Source organism: Homo sapiens, chromosome 10, assembly GCF_000001405.40.
Source record: "Homo sapiens chromosome 10, GRCh38.p14 Primary Assembly".
In the NCBI taxonomy this organism is placed as follows: Eukaryota; Metazoa; Chordata; class Mammalia; order Primates; family Hominidae; genus Homo; species Homo sapiens.
Genome location: NC_000010.11, coordinates 74,947,220 through 74,968,072, shown reverse-complemented (window position 1 = coordinate 74,968,072; position 20,853 = coordinate 74,947,220). Strand labels below are relative to the sequence as shown.

General features: G+C 39.2%; 1 protein-coding gene across 35 annotated transcripts in view; it reads right to left on the bottom strand.

The window, feature by feature from the left end:
- Positions 1–20,853, bottom strand: part of KAT6B (lysine acetyltransferase 6B) — a 207,689-nt gene that overhangs the window by 64,552 nt on the left and 122,284 nt on the right. For all 35 annotated transcript variants that reach the window (XM_047424912.1, XM_047424919.1, XM_047424927.1 and 32 more), the window contains one exon: positions 7,995–8,103. In XM_047424912.1, coding sequence (XP_047280868.1) covers positions 7,995–8,103 — 109 coding nt within the window. The remainder of the gene's footprint in view (positions 1–7,994; positions 8,104–20,853) is intronic.

The following is a 20,853-nucleotide window of genomic DNA, read 5'->3' as shown; positions in this document are numbered from 1 at the left end:
AAAAACTTAACTTTTAAAGAACAGCAATTTAAATTCCACCCTTAAAATGGATCCCATCAGCTTAAAAGTATACCACTTACTTCCCCCCTCTTTTTTATTACTTCCTGTAAGGCATATATCATGGGCACATATGACCTCAATTTCACGCACTGAATTTTTCTCTACATTCAAATCTGCTTTTGTACTTTGTGACTTAATATTCAGTAACTAAGGTAATTCACATCATATTACAGCTTACTATTTATTCTCACAGGTATCTTATGAAAGACAGACTTTTTAATAATTATGCAGTTTGAAAATTAGTGGATTTCAGCCATTTTCAATCAGGGGCAAGGAATATTCTTTCTCTTAATGGTTTCTCTCACTTTAAGCAATACTGTATCTCAACTACTACTATTTAAGCTACCCTATCAAATTCTAAAATCTTCAGCCTATCTTTCCTTTAGGCAGCAATCTTACCTTTATTTAGCTCAAGAGAATTGGCCATAGATCCCTTACAGTTCTAAATTTCTATGATTCTGTAAAGGATGCTGAGGGATGAAGAAATATTTCCATTTTATTTTCTCATGGCCAACTTTAAAATAACACAAAAGACCGTAACGTGTCTTGATATACTACTGCACAATCTATAGTAATTAGATAAAGGAAAGCAATGCTACTGATCAAGTAATTCCTTACCTCTGGTTTAGCGATTTCATAAACTCAACAATTTCCTCTAACACTTTAATTTTTTTTTTTTTTTTGAGACGGAGTCTCGCTCTGTTGCCCAGGCTGGAGTGCAGTGGCGTCATCTTGGCTCACTGCAAGCTCCACCTCCCAGGTTCACGACATTCTCCCGCCTCAGCCTCCTTAGTAGCTGGGACTAGAGGCGCCCGCCACTATGCCTGGCTAATTTTGTTTTTGTATTTTTAGTACAGACAGGGTTTCACTGTGTTAGCCAGGATGGTCTTGATCTCCTGACCTTGTGATCCACCTGCCTCAGCCTCCCAAAGTGCTGGGATTACAGGTGTGAGCCACAGCGCCCAGCCTATTTTTTTATTTTTGAGACAGGGTCTTACTCTGTTGCCCAGGCTGGAGTGCGGTGGCATGATCACGGCTCACTGCAACCTTAGCCTCCCAGACTCAAGCAGTGCTGTCACCTCAGCCTCTCGAGTAGCTGGGACTACAGGCACGCATCACCAAGCCCGGCTAATTGTTTTGTATTTTTTTGGTAGAGATGGGGTTTTGCCATGTTGGCCAGGCTGGTCTTGAATTCCTGGCCTCAAGAATCCACCAGCCTTGGCCTCCCAAAGTGCTGGGACTACTGACACACCCCACCACGTCCAGCTAATTTCCTCTAAAATTCTTGTTCTCTCTGTTGACACGTTTCATGGTGCTTTGTCTTTCTGGAGTTTGTTTTACTATTGTATTTTGCAATTTATCAGATTTGAGAGCCATAATACATATTCATTCACTCATTCAATTTTACACAAATACATTGTCAAGTACTAGTAGCTTACAATAGTTTTATCTAGCAAAACCAAAGGAATACTATTTAAAATTAAACAAGTACCAATGGAACTACAAACCAGTGGAAAAGCTTTTTGGAGAAAGTACTGAGGAAGAAAAAACACAGGCTCTGTAGTAAGCACAACAACAGCAGCGCCCCAGCCATCTGTGCTCTAATTCCCATAACCTGTAAACATACTATACCTGTTGTAGCAAAAAGAACTCTGCAGAAGTGACTAGGGGTACCGACCTAGAGATGGGGAGTTTATCCTGGATTATCTGAGTGGGCATGATTGATCTAATCACATTAATCCTTAAAAGCAGAGAACCTTTTACGGACTTGGTTAGAAATGAAATGGCAAAAGGAGGAGGAAGGGTTCAAAGCATGAGAGAGACTCCACCTGCTATCACAGGCTTTCAAGATGGGGAGGGGGCTGCAAGCCGGGGAATGTGGGTGGCCTGTAGAACCTGGCCATGACCTTCACCTGACAGCAAGAAAACCAGGATCTCGGTCCTGTCAACACAAGGAATTGAATTCTGCCAATAACCCAGATGGATAAGAACATGGATCCTCTCCTTCCCAGAACTTTGGGAGGCCAAGGCGGGTGGATCACGAGGTCAGGAGATCAGGACCATCCTGGCTAACATGGTGAAACCCCGTCTCTACTAAAAAAAAAAAAAAATACAGAAAATTGGCCGGGCGTGGTGGCGGGCGCCTGTAGTCCCAGCTACTCGGGAGGCTGAGGTGGAAGAATGGCGTGAACCCGGGAGGCGGAGCTTGCAGTGAACCGAGATCACGCCACTGCACTCCAGCCTGGGCATCAGAGTGAGACTCCATCTCAAAAAAAAAAAAAAGAACATGGATCCTCACTTAAAGTCTCCAGAGAGGAGCCAGCCCTGCTGATACCCCGATTTTAATCTGGTGAGACCCATGATGGACTTCCAACCTACAACTATAAGATTAAAAATGTGTTGTTTTTAAGCCACTAAGTCTGTAGTAATTTATTCCAGTAGCAATGGAAAACTAATAACGACTCAGACACTAAGCCCCTCAGACTGGCTACCTGACCATCCATCTGTCCATCTCTCCTCCCTTCAACTAATATTTAATGAGCACTGGATACAGTGAGGAAAAGGAGAGGCATGGTTCCCACCCTTCCAGATCACATAGCCCAGCAGGAAAGACAAACATTAAACAAGAATGAGCATTAATGCCTTACAATGGGGTGGCTTAGGGATATGGGAGAATCTAGCAGGAAGTTAGAGAAAGGCCTCCCTAAAAAAGAGACCCAAAAGATGAATGTGATTGGATGGGACCAGAAGAGGGGAAGAGCAGGGAAGATGGCATGAACAGAGGGAGAGATGAACGAGGTATATCCAAGGAGAGAGAAGTTGTTCAATGTAACCAATGTGCAGAATGTGAACAGAATAGTGATGTAAGATGGGGTTAAACCAGAGCCCAATCCAGAAGTTTTTGGGGGCTATATTAAAGAATATGGATTTCTCCTAAGAGCAACTGATAGCCACTTATGAAATTATGTGATCAGATTTATAACTTAAAAAGGTAACTTAGGCTATAGTATGGAAAATGGATTGGAGGAAAAAGGGTGAAGCCTAGATTGAGGTCATTATAACAGCAGATCTGAGTGGGGCTGGCTGGTGGGGATGCATCGATAAATTTAGCATTCAAGATACATATTATGATTTAGAATCAATGTGTTTTTGGTGATTCCTTGGTGTGAAAGAATAGGACAGAGGATGGCTCCAAATGTCTAGTTTGTGTAACTGAGTGAGTAGCGAACGGTGTGCCACTTGCTGAATATAGGAAATCCTCCAGGAGAGGTGGGATACTGTTTGTTTGCTGGGATTTCTGTTGTTATTGTTGTGGCTGTTGTTTTGGGTGGAGGAAGCAGTGCAAGGTTGATGAGCTGTTCTGGATATTAACTTTGAGGTGCCTCGGGGGTAGACTCGTTGGAAAAGCTCTATAGTTATTTGTATCTAGGGTCAGAAGCTCAGTAGAAGCTACAAGGCAAAGTAACAAACACAGGGCCACGACAGACATCTGAAGAAACATTTAGGGAATGGAGAGAGGACCAAGGGGCTAACAAAAATATGTGGAAAGAAGTGGTAGAGAAAAAACACAGATAATATGGTGTCACAGGGGCCAAAGGAAAAGAACACTTCAAGAAAAAAGATTCTCTACAAGATCAAATATGACTAAGAGAAATTATTTGGTGTGGATTAAAAGATACCAATTAGATTTTGATAAACACTTAAAAATGATCATTAGATTTTGCTACAAAGAGGTCACTATTACCCAGACAAGCACAGTTTTAGTGAAGTTACATCTCTTTGGATGGTCAATCATGCTTTGGGCTTTTGCAGGGATGGGGCTCACCTTCTTTCCCCCAACCCCCAATCTTTTCTGCTTTGTTTTTTTATTTTTATTTTTTGAGACAGAGTTTCACTCTTGTCACCTAGGCTGGAGTGCAGTGGTGCAATCTCGGCTCACCTCAACCTCCGCCTCCCGGCTTCAAGCCATTCTCCTGCCTCAGCCTTCCGAGTAGCTGGGATTACAGGATGCGCTACCATGCCCGGCTAATTTTTTTTTTTTCCTTTTTTTAGTAGGGATGGGGTTTCACCATGTTGGCCAGGCTAGTCTTGAACTCCTGACCTCAGGTGATCCACCTGCCTTGGCCTCCCAAAGTGCTGGGACTACAGGCGTGAGCCACAGCGCCTGGCCTCTTTTCTTCTTTGGATCATATCTTTAGGTTTCTTTCTAGTCAAGAGTCTTCTTTCCAACCTAATGATTCAATCTGCATCTAGTCAATGTGAAACTGGATGACTAAGCAACCAACTCCTGGGGTGACCTTAAGAAACTAGTGGTCTTTTAAAATATTTTTATATGTCCATATATCCACACACTGCCCCTACCAGTTCCCTCCATGAGCATGCAAATTTTGTTCAGGGTTAACACACAAATAAAGACAAACCCAGGGAAGACTTCAGGTCTCCCGAGGGTGCACTGATATTCTACTCCACGGCTCTTGCTCCCTTTATTGTACAAAAGGGATTTCTCTCACTCACCCAGCTGCATCACAGCAGCCTTTCTTCTGTCTCCCGTTTCAATGAGCTTCCACTTAGAATGATGCTGTAATTTTGAACTGTACACTTATCTTAGATTTGCTAATTTGAAAACACACATGCACACAACTCATCTGTAAGTAAGATTTAACCACCCAGCAATCTGAGCAGCAGACACAAAATTTCATTTGGTATAATATCTAATACTTATGTGAAGCTAATTAAAGATAATTTGGTCTTAATGAGGCAAAGAGAATATAACAGTGTTAATTTCAAAGTAGGCTGATCCATGAAAGTCAAGTAAAATCATTTCTAACACTTCCACAGACCTAGACTATCTGATGATTCCCACATTCATATTAGTGGCTGGAATAATCCTTCACATTTGTCTCATGTTTTACAGTTACTGATCATCTTCCTATCATTTTCTCACTGGATCCCACAATAGCTCTGTGGATGGAGGGTGCAGACATTCTCCTTTACACCCCACAGATGAGGAAAACCAAAGTTACACACCCAGCAAGTGGCGGAAGAGAACTGGAACCCAGGCTAGGGACACCACATTCAGAGCTCCGGGCACTACATACCTCACCTCACGTTTTTACTACATATAAACTTGAATGATTTTTTTTTTTAAAGAATTTTTAGTAGAAAAAAAAACTGTTAAAGAAAATACTGCCCATTTAAAGCATCGAGCCCCTTTAAAAACAGATAAATTTCTAATTGGCTTTACTTTATGATGTAAGCAGAAGGATACATTTATTACTCTCATCTATGAAATCTAAGCGGAGTCTAAATGTGACATCATATGAATGGTACTTCAGATAGGGACGACTGAAAAGCATCAGGCACATATGGGAAACACATTTAAGAATGATCCTCCCCACAGGCTGCCATCTATATTTCCTTTTTCTGGTTTTATGCTGCTATGGGTATTTTTTCACATAAACAACTTACATTTTGGGATCCCTTTGAACATTATGAACGGTCTCAATTCAATCCCAGAACCAATAGACTCTTCTGAGAGTGAGAAGGCAGCCATTTCCATAAGGTCAACTAGGAGTCCCAACTAATCTGTAATTCCCACTTGAAATGCTGAACTGTGACAACAGGGCTCCCGCCATTATTTGAGGACACTGTTGAGGTATGCTGGCCTATTGTTTTCTTTTTTCCTTAGAATTACCAAGGTGTCAAAACAGAGCCTTAGAACCACAAGAACCCCCAAACTCCCTAAAATGAACTATATTTTATTTTGACCCTTCAATTTAAAGAGGAAAAAACAACAAAGTCTATTCTTCTGATTTATCAGATGAATAAATATGTACAAAGCATTTCCCTGCGTTAGGAACAATAGTTTTTTTGACTAAAGCAGCCAAATCCAGGCTGGCACAGCACACTCAAGGGAAGATTAAGTGAACTTCAACACTAGAGCCGGATCCCATCGCAGAGTCCAGAGAAGCACTCTGAGGCATCCTTTATCCCCAACAAAGAGACATGGTGACCCCAGGGCTTGAATTTCTGCCATGACCCATACCTTGGCCCCAAAGCCTCTGGCTCTCTCCACTTGAAGACTGGCTCACAAAACCACACCAGCCACATAAACCCTCTGGACAGTATCCTCAAGTCATTATTCTCCATTTGTTAAAAGAGAAAACAAGAGGATATTTTTGAACAGAGAAAACATAACACTGTACCTAAACACCCCTGGCTTTACCCTGAAAAAGTCTGAGCGAAAAGTAAGAAACACCAGGGGAAAGAAATTTTCAGTGACCTCAAACATAAAGGAGATCAACCTCCCCTCTGGCAGGTCTTCAATCCGGGAAAGACAAAGGGAGATTGATTACATCAGAAAATCTAAGATCTACCTGTTTAGAATTACACCTTTATACCCTGTGAAGGAGGCCTTGAAGTTATGATCTAGAAGATAATGATCTCGAACTTCTTATCAACTCAAGTAAGTGTATCACCAGAGGTAAGGAAATATATGAAGGGAACTTTTCTTCCCACATTTAAGTACATCTTTAATCTGTCTAGGCACCCAGACAAATAGATCCTAAAGAAATAAAAACAGGGAAGGGTGTTTTTAAAGTACCACCTTAAAAGCCACAAAGGGTAAACCCTAGACAAGTGAACACCACTAAATTGATCAGGCAGTTACACAAAAGAATAATTCATTCAGAATGAGCCTCGTGAGAAAACCCAAAAGATAACGACAGAGTCAGAACTGATGAGTGAGGCACTACCTCACCAGCATAAAACAGGGATATCGTGGGGCTGAAATGTATTAAACTGAACGTACAGATAATGTTTCCATGCCCTTTTGTCACTATCCATGATGCCATGGCCAGGTAAAAGAATTTTAATGAATCTGTAAAGCCCATCAAAAAGACTGTCAGAATGCATTTTTCAAGCAGGGTTTGAAATGTCTTATTTCCAAGGCTCTCCCTTCTAGTCAGCACCTGAAAGCTGCTGAACCACAAAGGGCCTATCACGTTAAACCTTCATATAAGGAATAAGAATCATTACACAACACTGTCATTCCTCAGCATGAAACATTTCTTCTACCCAACCATCAAGCAGCTGTCATAAGTGATGATAAGATTTTAAATTACGTGCAGCAATCAAGGATAACAATATCAAACATGCTAAACCATAACACTGCTGACATTTGTAGTACACTTACCATAGTTCTGCAGACCTTGTGCCAGGGTGTTTACTTGTGCCCTCACATTTCATTCCCATAAAACCCAAGAGGATGGTGCTGCCATTATCTCTAATTTTCTAATGAGGAAACAGGGGCTCAGAATGATCAAGTAACTAACTCAAGGCAGAGGAACTGGGCTATGGCTGGCTCTTGAGTTTGCTCCTAGCCAGTATATCTCAAGACTTCCCAAACAAGAATTAGCTATGGTGTTCTGTCGATTTTTGTTTTTGTTTTTTTTTTTTAGAGATTACTATAACTAGAGAAATAGTCATGAATTTTAAAACAAGACTTTGGAGAAAAAAGTTTGGGTAGTCTGGGGAAAAAATTTGAAGATTAACAGAAAAAGCTTAATTTTTACTTATTTTTTGCTATTAATTTTTAAAGATGGGGTTGTACTCAGCTTGAAAGCTTAGAATTCTCTACATGGAATTTACCTATAATGCAGACATCTCCACACTGAATTACCAATGCTGGTATAAAATAAAAGCTTAATCATAAATATGTATAGTATTATATAAGCATATATAATATCCATATGTCAGTACTAACATACTCACGCTTTTTTCTCTATTCCTTACTTTTTCTTTTAAAATTTAAAGCCTATGCTATTACCATATAACTGCCTTAAATAACAATACAGTTTTAATAGAGAGACAAATAGCATGAAGCTATGATAATGGGAAGTCATTGTACAACACATAGGAAAAACACAACTTACCACTACTGCCACAATCTGCACAAGAGAGGAGTTCTTCTGGTTTCTTTTCACGATTTGATTCTTTAGTCCCCAAACAGAAGCTACATATTGGAATGGGATCAGCACGGGGCTATGACAAAATTAAAATAAAAAATACTGTCACTTTTCCATTTCAAAAGTAAAAACATTAAAATCAAAAGCTTTTTACATTTTTCACTTAAAGCTTCTTCTTTCTTTAACAAAGAAAAACTGCTAAATAACGTATTTAAATAAACACTTTCTGCTAGTAAAAAAACTCTTATATTATTTTTGAGACGAAGTCTCGCTCTGTCGCCAGGTTGTAGTGCAGTGGCACAATCTCGGCTCATTGCAACCTCCACCTCCCGGGTTCAAGCGATTCCCCTGCCTCAGCCTCCCGAGTATCTGGGATTACAGATGCGCGCCACTATGCCTGGCTAATTTTTTGTATTTTAGTAGAGATGGGGTTTCACCATGTTGGCCAGGATGGTCTCGATCTCCTGACCTCATAATCCACCTGCCTCAGCCTCCCAAAGTGCTGGGATAAATCTCTTAAATTATTTGACACTAAAGTACTACCTGAATACATTTCAGTATAATGTATGACTCAGAAGTCATTTTTATTAAACCAGTGAAATCTAATACCTTTATATATTATATAGCTTGCCTGAAATGAACATAATTAAGGATTCATTGGACATCTCAATTGTTTCTATTATCTATATGCTTAAAATAAATTATTCGTTCAGCATTATAGTCTATGAATATCATGTATAGACTGTTAAGACTTTATTAAATATTGCAGCGCAGATTGCTATTATTCACCTACTAAATATTTGACATAAAATATCTATATGTTTTTAGGTGACAGAATAATAGAATGAGCAGGATTCTGTGGGACACTTGAAAAGGTCATTATTAACAAGGCTTTTGTGCCACGAAGGTCTTCAAAAGTAAACCACACCATACCAAACAAAAAAGATAAACCTTGAATCTCTGACATTCTCACCTTATTTATTTATTTATTTATTTATTTATTTATTTATAGACAGAGTCTCACTCTGTCGCCAGCCTGGAGTGCAATGGTGTGATCTTGGCTCACTGCAACCTCTGCCTCCCAGGTTCAAGTGATTCTCTTGCCTCGGCCTCCTGAGTAGCTGGGACTACAGGCGCGTGCCACCAAACCCGGCTAATTTTTATATTTTTAGTAGAGATGGGGTTTCACCATGTTGGTCAGGATGGTCTCGATCTTCTGACCTCATGATCCGCCCGCCTCAGCCTCCCAAAGTGCTGGGATTACAGGCGTGAGCCACCGAGCCCGGCCTGACATTCCCACTTTATATAAGAAACAACAAAACATTTGTCTAGTCCCCTAGCACCCTTTAACTCTCGTATGAAAATTGCTTTTAACAATGTATAAATCTACATACATTTTAGTATTTCCATTGTTATTTACTACTATCAGCAATGCTAGTATTCCCATCCATAGGAATAGCTGACAGTGCCTACAGATCTGGTCACATTATTTTCAACAGCCAAAACTACGAAAACTGTAATTTTACCGCATATTCCAAGCCTTCACACATGTTGTCTGCTAGCCATCTGAATGTTACTATGATGTCTCTATATTTGAATCTCATGAATCAAAAATTCAGAGCAAGAACACCCAACATAATCACAAATGTTTTTAAATGTAAATTAAAAACAAGATTTTGCTAGGTCTAACTCTCTAAATATACATCAGCATAGAATAAACTTCATTTGTTCAGCCACTCTAGCCCAAATGCCTAATGCATTTCCTGGTGCATAGTAGGCACTCAAAATATATCTGCTAACTGAATACATGAAGGAAATATATGCTAGTTAAGAACAAAAAAAATCAATGGTTATAATGATTCCAACAAATGCCTTAGTTCCTTGGGACAACATGTCATCAAAAACAAAAAACCATCTCATGACCAAACATTCACAAATTGTTTAATATGACTGCAAATCTCATCTTACAAGGGCATTCATTATCTTCCCTTTACTTTCAGCTTAATTTGTTCTTATAATATGCACAGGCTTTACGTTCTGAGGTAGCTATGCAAATGTATTTCTGTAGCCCCAGTTAAAAAGTAGATTATAAAACATTCTGTACTAGAAAAACGAAAAGAGACAAGCTATAACAAATTGGTCACTGACTGTAGCCACAGTTTTTTAAATGCCAGATAATCAGCACTGCATAATTATGGATCCATAGTTATTACTTGCAACTGCTCAACTGCAGTACCTTGGGAACACTTTTGTTCCTTTAAATAGCAATTAAAAGAACAATCTGGCTTTAAAGTGACAACATTCCCCTGATAGATTTGAGCTAAAACCCGGTCCTCTTACTAACGGGATTCCTGCTTTCATTTGATATAACAATGTTCAAGCTACTGCTGTCATCCTTGCACTGATAAATAATTTACAGAATGTCACATATCATTCATGCAATGAAACAAATCCAAATCTCCAAACCCATTTTTCTTTCCCAGATGAATTTTTAGCTGTGAGAGAGACATGGCCATCAGCCAGCATTCATGCTCATTTTTCGTTTTTAACTAAAGGTAACACAAAGGACAAAGGTTGCTAGTAGTTCATGGCCAGAAAGACTGATGTCCCGCGCTCTGTCCAATAATAGAAAGCATAGATGTTATCACTTCACGCTACATTCAAGCGAACCCCGCCATGCTGATGTATGCTCACAACCATTTATTTTAAGGATAACTATCTCACAATACTCTATAAAACCACTGCATTATACAGAAATGTCTGCCCTGCTGAATTATTGATAATTCAAAGCACTTTTTGCTAACCTCCGTGTAGCCAAGTCTAATTAACTTTTAAAAATTGTCACTTGTACGAAATGAAACTTTTACAGTAACGCATGTAAATGGGTCACAGGATTATTATGATTCACTGTTCTCAATCAGACTACATATAAACTGTGTTTAAAAAAATCCCTTATAATAAAGTAAAATGGATTCCAGTCAGAAAAAGGTCTGAGTAAATGGCAATTTGATTCTATACAAATCTACTACAGGTAAGTTATATTTAAGATGTCTGAAAATGATACCAAAAATCTCCAAATTCTTAATTCCTTTCTTTGAAATTTCACAAAGGCACCTAACCTGTTGATCACATTTTCCCAACAACATGCCTGAATATTTTAAACTAATCCCAAGAAGGAAGGCTCATGAATAAGTCTAAAGATGAATACATCCAGCAAACTGTGCTCTGGAAGGATCTCCTTGTCTCCCATGCAATGGCCCTGGGGCAGCTGCTAGGCTACAGGCTGCTCCTGCACTATCTCATTTAATCATCTTAACAATCTTGCCCGGTATGAGTATTATCTCTATTTTAGAAAAGAAATTGAGCATCTAAGAAGTTAAGTAACATTTTTAAGGTTGCATAGGTTCAGGTGTAGAGCTGTACTCAAACACAAGTCTGTCTTCATGAGAGCCCATTTCTTACTTTGCTACCTCCCCTCCATTCCTCAGAATAACAAATGTCTAAAATTATCTTTCCATCAGTGGCAATAACTCTTTACTAATGTGTTCATAATCTATTCCATACAATTTCTCCCATGACCAATGGCATATGGTTTTTAAAACTATTAAAAAGGTAACCACTAAACACCATGGATTATGTATTAATTACCATGGGGAAAAGGTACCTTTACAATGGAGAAATCTGGTGGACACTTTATAAACAAGTATGGGACAAAGTGACATCATGTGCCTTCCAAGTGCCTATCCTAAAGGACTGAGCACCACCTATATAGTATTCTTGCCAGAAACATTTATCCTGAGTCCAATCATAAAGAAACAATCAGGCAAATCCAAATTGGGGGATATTCTCTGTAACAACTTTTCTGTACTCTTGAAAAAATGTCATATAATACCCAAAAAAGGGCAGGACCAACCTGGGCAACACGGGGAGACCCCAGCTCTACAAAATAAAAAAATTAGGCAGGCATGGTGGCGCATGCCTGTGGTCCCAGCTACTTGGGGAGTTGAGGTGGGAGGACGGCTTGAGCTGAGGAAGTTGAGGCTGCAATGAGTCGTGATTGCACCACTGCACTCCAGCCTGGGTGGCAGAGCAAGACCCTGTTTCTCAAAAGAAGGGAGGCAGGGGGCAGGACCAATTAAGGTGACTAAACAGGCATGAAAACTAAATATAAATATAATCTGTGATCCGTGGTTGGATTCTGGACTTTTACAAAATATCCACAGCTATGAAGGATATTATTGGGATAATTAGGGTAATGTATACTCAGAATTAGGCAATATATAAACTAGATATAATATAAATTTCTTGAGTGAACATAATTCTGATTATGTAGGAGAATATCTTCGTTTTTAGCAGATATATGTTGAAATATAGGAGTAAAGTGTTATGATGTCTTTATGTTGAAATTTAGGAGTAAAGTGTTATGATTGGAGAGTAACTTACTCTCCAATGATTCAGAAAAAAACAAACCTAAGGGTGTTCGTATGTTAATGTGCACAGAGAGAGAGAGTAAACATGACACAATGTTAACAGTTGGGGAGTCTATGTAAAAGGCATATAGGTGTTCATTACATTATTCTATGTAAAAGGCATATGGGTGTTCATTCTATAATTTTTCCTCATCTTTACAACTTTTCCAAACAAAAAGTTGGGGGGGGGGGGATAAAATTGTGTCCCTTTACTCTCAAAAAAGATCTAAACTGAATCATTATTTTCAGTAGGCCCTCTATATCTGCGGGATTAATATCCGTGGATTCAACCAACCATGAATGCAAAATATTTGAAAAGAAAAAGGATGGTTTTGTCTGTACTGAACATATATGTTTTTTTCTTCTCATTATCCCCTAGACAATAGAATGATTCACATAGCATTTATATTGTATTAGTTATTGTAAGTAATCTAGAAATGATTTAAAGTATATGGGAGAATGTACATAGGTTATACACAAATACTGCACCATTTTACATAAGGGACTTGAGCATCCATGGAATTTGGTATCAGTGGTGGTAGAGGGGTGAGGGAGGGGTCCTGTACCCAATCCCCCACAGATGCCAAAGGATGACAGTAGTTGGACTACAAACATTTATAAATCAAGGTCTCTCAAGCCCATTACCGACTCAGAGGAAATACAGAGGACAGAGGAATATGTTAATCTATAGAGCGGGGAGATGCTAGTACCAAAACACTACGGAAAAAATGGCCCAGTTTCTTCAACAAATTAAACAGGAGACCAAGTGAATAGGCGAGCAAAAAATAGATACAGAAGAATCGCTAGATTAATAGACATTTAAAGGGCGTATCAGCCAATCACAATGTGTGAACCATATCTTGATCATGATTCAAACAAAGTATAAGCAAAACAAAACAAAATATTATGACCTAGTGAAGGAACAAAGGCTACTTAGCTTTAAAAGACTGGGGTGGACTCGCTGGGTGTCTTCATCCAGGTGAAAGGGTTAGATTCGTTCTTGTGGTTACAGAGTACAAAACTTACACCAATAGGAGTCATCATAGAGAGCCTTTCCAACAGCTGTCCAGCAATGGAATGGATTCTTTTTTTTTTCCGCTTCATTTGCTTAGTTTTTATTTTTTTAATTGTGGTTCAAATGGCATTAAGTAAGTTCACAATACTGTGCAACCATTACCACCATTTATCTCCAGAACTCTTTTCAACTTGCAAAACTGAAACTCTGTATCCATTAAACAATAATTTCCCATATTCTCTTCCCCCAGCCCAGGAAAACACCATTCTACTTTCTGTCTCTATGCATTTGATTATTCTAGCTATCGCATATAAGTGAAATCATACAGTATTTGTGGAATGGATTATTCTTGAGGCAATAAGAGGCCCCTATAATCAAGAGGCCATGGAGAGACTGGATGGGCCCCATCAGGATGCTGAGGACACAACAGTATACAATTTCACCTCACACAATTTGGGGATCTGGGACTCTTCAAAGGTTCCTTCCAGATCAAATATTTTAACGGTTCTAGAGTTAATCTCTAAGGACTTTCCCAGTTCTAATTTTTATTGATTCTATAATACTTTAGAAATTTTAAGAGTCTTCAAGACCTTTGATCTCAAAATAAGATAGCATTTTCTAAGGAAACATTCTTTAAATCTAGGACAATGCATTTTTAAGAAGCTTTATTTTACTTTGTGATTACTTCTGTTTCTGCCCAGAAGGAAACTATATATTTGTTAGCCTTAGTCTAAGTAACTGGACAAAAATAAATGAAAATTCCTGCACAAAATCAGAGCCAGGAGTATTTAGATTCATATCCTCCTCCTGACAATGACACAAAAAGGGGTTTTGTAAGCCATTTCCATGGTATCTGTTCACAATGATCAGGGACATATAACCCTCTCTCTCCATAATCCCCTATAGATCCATACTTCTTAAGTCATCTACATCTTTCATGAGACTGCTTAAAAAAACATACCATTTTAGTAATCCCAAGTGTTAAAAACAAAACAGTTCAGCATTTTTCATTCATATGTTCATATTTGCACCACAGAAAGACCCAGATTTAAACGCTGCTCTCTAAGCCTCAGGTTTCCTCATCTGTAAAAGTGCACAATAGTGTCTGTGTTGTCTAGCTCTCGGGTTGTTAAAGTTCAAATGTGAGTGAGTGTGGAAAGTATTTTGTAAACTACAAAGTTCTACTCAAATATTATTATGAGTATTGCAAAATTTTATTTGGCTATAAAAACAGAAAGAGCAAACAAACAACTTCAAGTCCTTAATAAGCATCAGAACAAATGAATTATTCTGGAGTTTAGAATTACTCTATAAAAGACTTTCATTTTCTGAGCCCCCATGATGAATATTAATCTTAGAGGATTTTTTTAAAGAATGAATTAATCAGGGAGTACAGGAACAGAGTAGAAAATGCCTCCACTGAGAGCCAAAAGGCCTGCAACTATTTAATAAAAGGAAAACTCAAACTAAATGAAAAGAAAAAGATGTTGGAGAAAGAAAAGCATAAACAAATACAAAATCTTAAATGAATAATACTACAAAAGCAAGCAAAGATGAATACTGGCTGGGCACGGTGGCTTACGCTTGTAATCCCCACACTTTGGGAGGCCGAGGTGGGCAGATCACCTGAGGTCAGGAGTTCGAGACCAGCCTGGCCAACATGGTGAAACCTCGGCTCTACTAAAAATACAAAAAAAAAAAAAAAAAAAAAAAAATTAGCCAGGCATGGTGCCTGTAATCCCAGCTACTCAGGAGGCTGAGGCAGAAGAATCACTTGAACCCGGGAGGCGGAGGTTGCAGTGAGCCAAGACCGCGCCATTATACTCCAGCCTGGGCAACAAGAATGAAACTCCATCTTAAAAAAAAAAAAAGACTCTTCTGTGTCTCTTTAGTTTGCTCTCCCTTGTTACACTGTACTGAAATGTGAAGTTTAGGTAATGCTTTGCTGTTTACCACAATGCTTTTCCCAAGTCCCAAATACGAATGCCATGCTACAAGGCCACCTCTCTAAGGTCACCTAACTAGTGAGATGGAGGAACTTCCAGCCTGCTGATGCCAAGCCCTTCACTCTCTGGCTTTCCCCATGGTTTGTCCCTCCTTTCACTTGGAGCTTGATATACCTCAGCAGAAAGGCTGTCCCTGACCATCCCTCTCTGAAACTGTACTCCACTGGCACCACTCCAGAATCTCCATACCTTTTTTTTTTAGGAGACACCACTCACTTTGTCACCCAGGATGGAGAGCGGGGGCGTGATCAAAGCTCACTCCAGCTCGATCTCCAGGGGCTCAAGTGATCCTCCCGCCTCAGCCTCCCAAGTAGCTGGGACTATACTGGCGCACTACCACGCCCAGCTAATTTTTTAACTTTTCATAGAGATGGGGGTCTCGCAACATTTCCCAGGCCATCTCGAACTCCTAAGCTCAAGCAATCCACCCACCTCGGCCTCCCAAAGTGCTGGGATTACAGATGTGAGCCACTGTGCTCGGCTCCATACCTTGGCTTTATTTTTCTTCATTGCACTGACCATTATCTGAAATATTGCATATCATTTATTTGTCTGTTTCCCTTACTAAACCATAAGTTCCATCATGATGGCAGAGACTGTTCATTGCTGTAGCCCCAGCTTCAAAAGTGTATCTATTGAATAAATGAATAAACAAATGAATAAACTGCTCTGAAGTTGGGAACTGGTTTCTCCAATTCACAGGTCCCAAAATATTGTCAACTGTCTTTTATTTTCATGTATATCCTCAATGACCACAAACACGACATGTAAAGAAACCATCAATGGCAAGGTGGGTTCCACCATTGTCTAATCTGAAACCTTTTTTACTCTGACACACATAATAAACGACATTTATGTTTGCTATATACTTCCCTGGGCATAAACTGACAAGACGGGACCAAAATTTTAAAATCAGTTGGGAGGAAAATTATCTGCCCAGTATTCACTATTAGGGCTTGCTTAGTAATAGTCACTATAGGTTGTAATAGTCACTATATAAGACAGATTTGGAGCATGACCAGTTGCCAGCACCTAGTTGTGGTGGCACTCCCCCTCCCCAGTCCCGCTATTTCTTTCCATCTCTACAAAGAATACAAGGTTATTAAAAGAAAAAAAAAAAGGGTCGCTGGGCGTGGTGGCTCACACCTATAATCCCAGCACTTTGGGAGGACAAGGCAGGCAGATCATTTGAGGCCAAGAGTTCTAGACCAGCCTGGCCAACATGGTGAAACCCCGTCTCTACTTAAAAAATACAAAAATGAGCTGGGCATGGTGGTGCGCACCTGTAGTCCCAGCTACTCTGGAGGCTGAGGCAGTAGAATCACTTGAACCCGGGAGAGGGAGGTTGCAGCAAGCCAAGATCATGCCACTGCACTCCAGCCTGGGCAACAGAGCAAGATTCTGTCTCAAAAGAAACAAAAATTAAAAATTAAAAAAAAAAAAAGAAAAAGAAGGAAGCCAAGTAAAATGAATACACTGCAATGGTAACAAAATTATAACAAGACTATGTATCGGTTTAGTCTTTTTAAATTTAATTTTCATTTCAATCTATTCAATTTATTTTGAGACAAGCTTTTGAGACTGGCTAATTTTTTTTTTATTTTTGGTAGAGATGAGGTTTCACCATGTTGCCCAGGCTGATCTCGAACGCCTGGGCTCAAGTGATCCACCTGCCTCGGCTGGTGCTGGAATTACAGGAATGAGCTACCATGTCTGGCCTGTTATGGTCTATTTTTAAAAGAAAAATATTTTACAAATTTTGGTGCCTTATTACTGGTAATGAATTATTGTCCACAAACTTCACAACTGATGGCACTGCAACAAAGGCTGAAAACTGCTTCCTGTTGTTACTAAGGTTTTTTTGTTTGCTACTTCAGAACTCTATTTGACACTTACCTAATAAAGAACTAGACTTTATTTCTTGCCACTTAACCCACTTATGCAACTGATGTCTGTCGGAACAGATCAAGTTTGCTCCTAATTAGGATAGAGATCATGCACACTCAGGATTTTCCCTCACAGCAATCTGCTTCAGATATGGTCTTCGGAAACACACTAACTCTAAAAGTAGGGATTTCCTGTGATGATCTAAATCATCTTATTTTTTTTCCAGAGCGTTATTTTGTTCCCGTCTGCATCTGCAGTAACAGTAACTGTGGTCAGGACAGCCATTCCTCTGCAGGGAGGTTCATGCCCAGCACTCCCTCAGAGCAGCCCTGGGTCTACTTCACATCCTTCGGGGTAGAACAGAACTCTGTTTACGACAAGTCTATCGCCATTTTCTCTATACTCCTGTACCCTTTTGTTTTATTCCATGGCTATTCTTGCAATTTCATCATGAATTGGACATAAGTAGACACCAAACAATTTTTTTCTAAAAGATAATTGGAGATATACTTACTATAAGACTTTACACAGGCAACACTGTCATCATAATTCTACTCTCCCTATATAGATTTTTATTGTATCACCTCCCCTGCTCATTATACTTCTCTGTGGGTAATTGGTTCTGTGAGGGAGCACTATATCATCCCCCCGAGCTCTGTGGATTAAGTATCTGTATTACTCAGGGCAAAAGGATTTATTATTGTTAATGTATGGAGATCTTGAATGTGACTGCTGTATTTTTACCTCCTTGTCACAGGATGAGGGTTCTCCATATTTTAAGTGACAGTAAGGAAGCAGGAAAATCTAATAAAATAAAAATATTCAAAAGCATCCCTACATATATCCCTAAAATACATCGCTTCTTTTTTCATTTAAAGAAATCATTTAGAAACAAAAAAAGATATAAATGACCACACAGTGGGAAAGTCCCATGATCAAAGGCTGACTCAGAAGTATAAAATAATAAAGCTTAGCCATAACGGAGTAAGACGAGAGAAGGAAAGTCTTTCTAAGAACATCAACCACAACAGTTTTTAATTGTGTGGACTTAATTGAAATGCTCACACTGTATCCTGTAGTCTAGAACTTGTTCTAATCAGGCAGGTGTGCCATTTATAAAAGTGCTGATTAAGGAAAGTGATTCTATTGGAAGGAAACAAATCTAATCCTACATACTGCATTTAACAATAGCATCTCATTTGTGTGGTGTGTGTTTTCTTGTTTTTTTTGTTTTGTTTTGTTTTGTTTTCCTGGTAGATGAAGCCTACAAATTTCTTAGGGGTGGGGCGCGGGGCTGGGGAAAGGACATTCATGAAACAATTGCTTGCCCCAGGGCCTTCAGTTTCTTATCTGGACAGGGACTTCTCTCCTCCACTTCTGCCATTAGAAACTGCAGGTATTGGATTTATCTTCTGAAGAGGGACCAAAGTCTGATTCAACACAGCTGGAAATTCAACACATGGTTACAGGAAGTCTGTTTAGGATTTACAAACTATTCTCTTTGGCAAGCATATCATGATATTAGCAATATAAACCCTACTCTGGATTTAGAAAAATGGAATTTTAAAATCAACTTACATTCAAGTGTCACAAACCTTTAGTCATTCCTTTTTAAAAAGAAAATTAACAAAGTGCCTCTCTAGTGATTCCCAACTTCAGTGCTGTAGGAACCTTCACTGGAGCAGGTCCAGACTTCAAGACTATAATTTATTTAGGGATACAAAAATCGACAAGGATGTAAATAGAAATTCTGTCTTAAAGACGGCAAGAAAAACAGTAGGAAAACCTGGGCACTAGATTCTGAAAACAATGCAAGTACTGCCATTGGTAGAAATTCTGTATTGTAATTCATCTCTATGACTTGGGAATGTTTTCCAAGTGAGGCTAGAAGCAAAATAGTAATGCATAGATTAAAGGATAGGCATAACAACAATTTACAAGAAACACAAGCAAGAGCTGATACTTAGTAGAGCTGTGTATCAGCTAGAGGCAGCTAGGAGCTTCTGCAGTTGCCCCAAGGCATTCATTTTAATTTAGATATGGTGCTACAAAACACTGCCTAGGCACACTGTGAACTGAATGTAGACATTCTTACTATTAATCCTGCCAAGAGAAACCTGCTCTAACTGCTCAGGAGACACAGGCAACTCAACTGAATGTAATTAGATCCAAACAGGAAAGTAGAATGAGGAGATGGGACATAGGTAAGTGGTTATTAACAAGCTAGAAAAGTCAGACACTAGTCACTTTCTCAATAATATTATCACCACCACCTCTGACAATGCCCTGCACTCACAGAGATTTACATGGCAGTTGAGATGTTATGTGCTATTCAATAAGTTACTAATATTTACTCAGCACCCAAAGTATGCCACGCAGAATATAATTGGTACTCCAAGTGCTTGTCCTCATAGAACCAATAAAAGTAGTGTAATTCCATTACTACACTTAATTCTCAATTGCCCTCTGGGCACACAAACCATCTGGTGTGCAGAATTTCCATGCTCCTGACTTCTTTTGTTTTCCCTGCTTTCAGACTACCTCTGACCCTTTCAATTGCAGTATTCATAAGCAGTAGGAAAAGAGGATTATGTGGATAATTACTACCTGAAGGTCAAGAGCTCTGACCTTGTTTTTTGGAGTTAATTCTGTGTAGCAGAAGACTCATTCTTAGACCCCCTTTGTGGCAGAGTTTCTAAATCTCCTTATGCTTTAGGCCAGGCACCACCCTGGGCACTTACATGAGCATTATCTTGGACAGACTCTGCTCCCTGGCACCACAGCTTCACTGTAAGGTGTGTTGGAACTGCACAAAACCAAAGCCCCTCCCTGCATACTAATACAAGCTGCAGCAAAGCCAGGAGAAGAAATACCAGGCATGACAAGGCCTTCCCCTGAGGGTGAAGATTTTAAACTTAATTTCCTAGATCTTTACTAGGGTAAACAGTAGAAAGCCTACTAAGGGTAAACAGTAGAAAGCCTACTAAGGGTAAACTGTAGGAAGAAGGAAGAAAAAGCCCATTATTTTGGTGACATTGGTAAAATTTTGCATATCTTAAATAGCTTAGTACATGGTGAGCTCTTGGAAGATCCTTGTTTGGTTTATCTTAATTACTATACATAATAAAGAATTATACACACAGTAGATGTTTGATTAATATCTGTTGAATATACGAATGTAACATTTCTCATACTTGGTACTTTCTTATCAGTTTCTAAATTACATTCTTACTTTAGCATATAAATGGTAAATAAATAATAATAGAACAGCACACGGTTATGGGGGGAAATACACATTTTAAATGTTTGCACATTTAGAACCTTCACATCTTCCCATTTACAGTTGTTGTTTTTAGTTTGTTTGTTTTTGTTTTTTCAGCCGGGAGCGGTGGCTCATCCCTATAATTCCAGTACTTTTTTGGGAGGCCAAGGCGGGCAGATCACTTGAG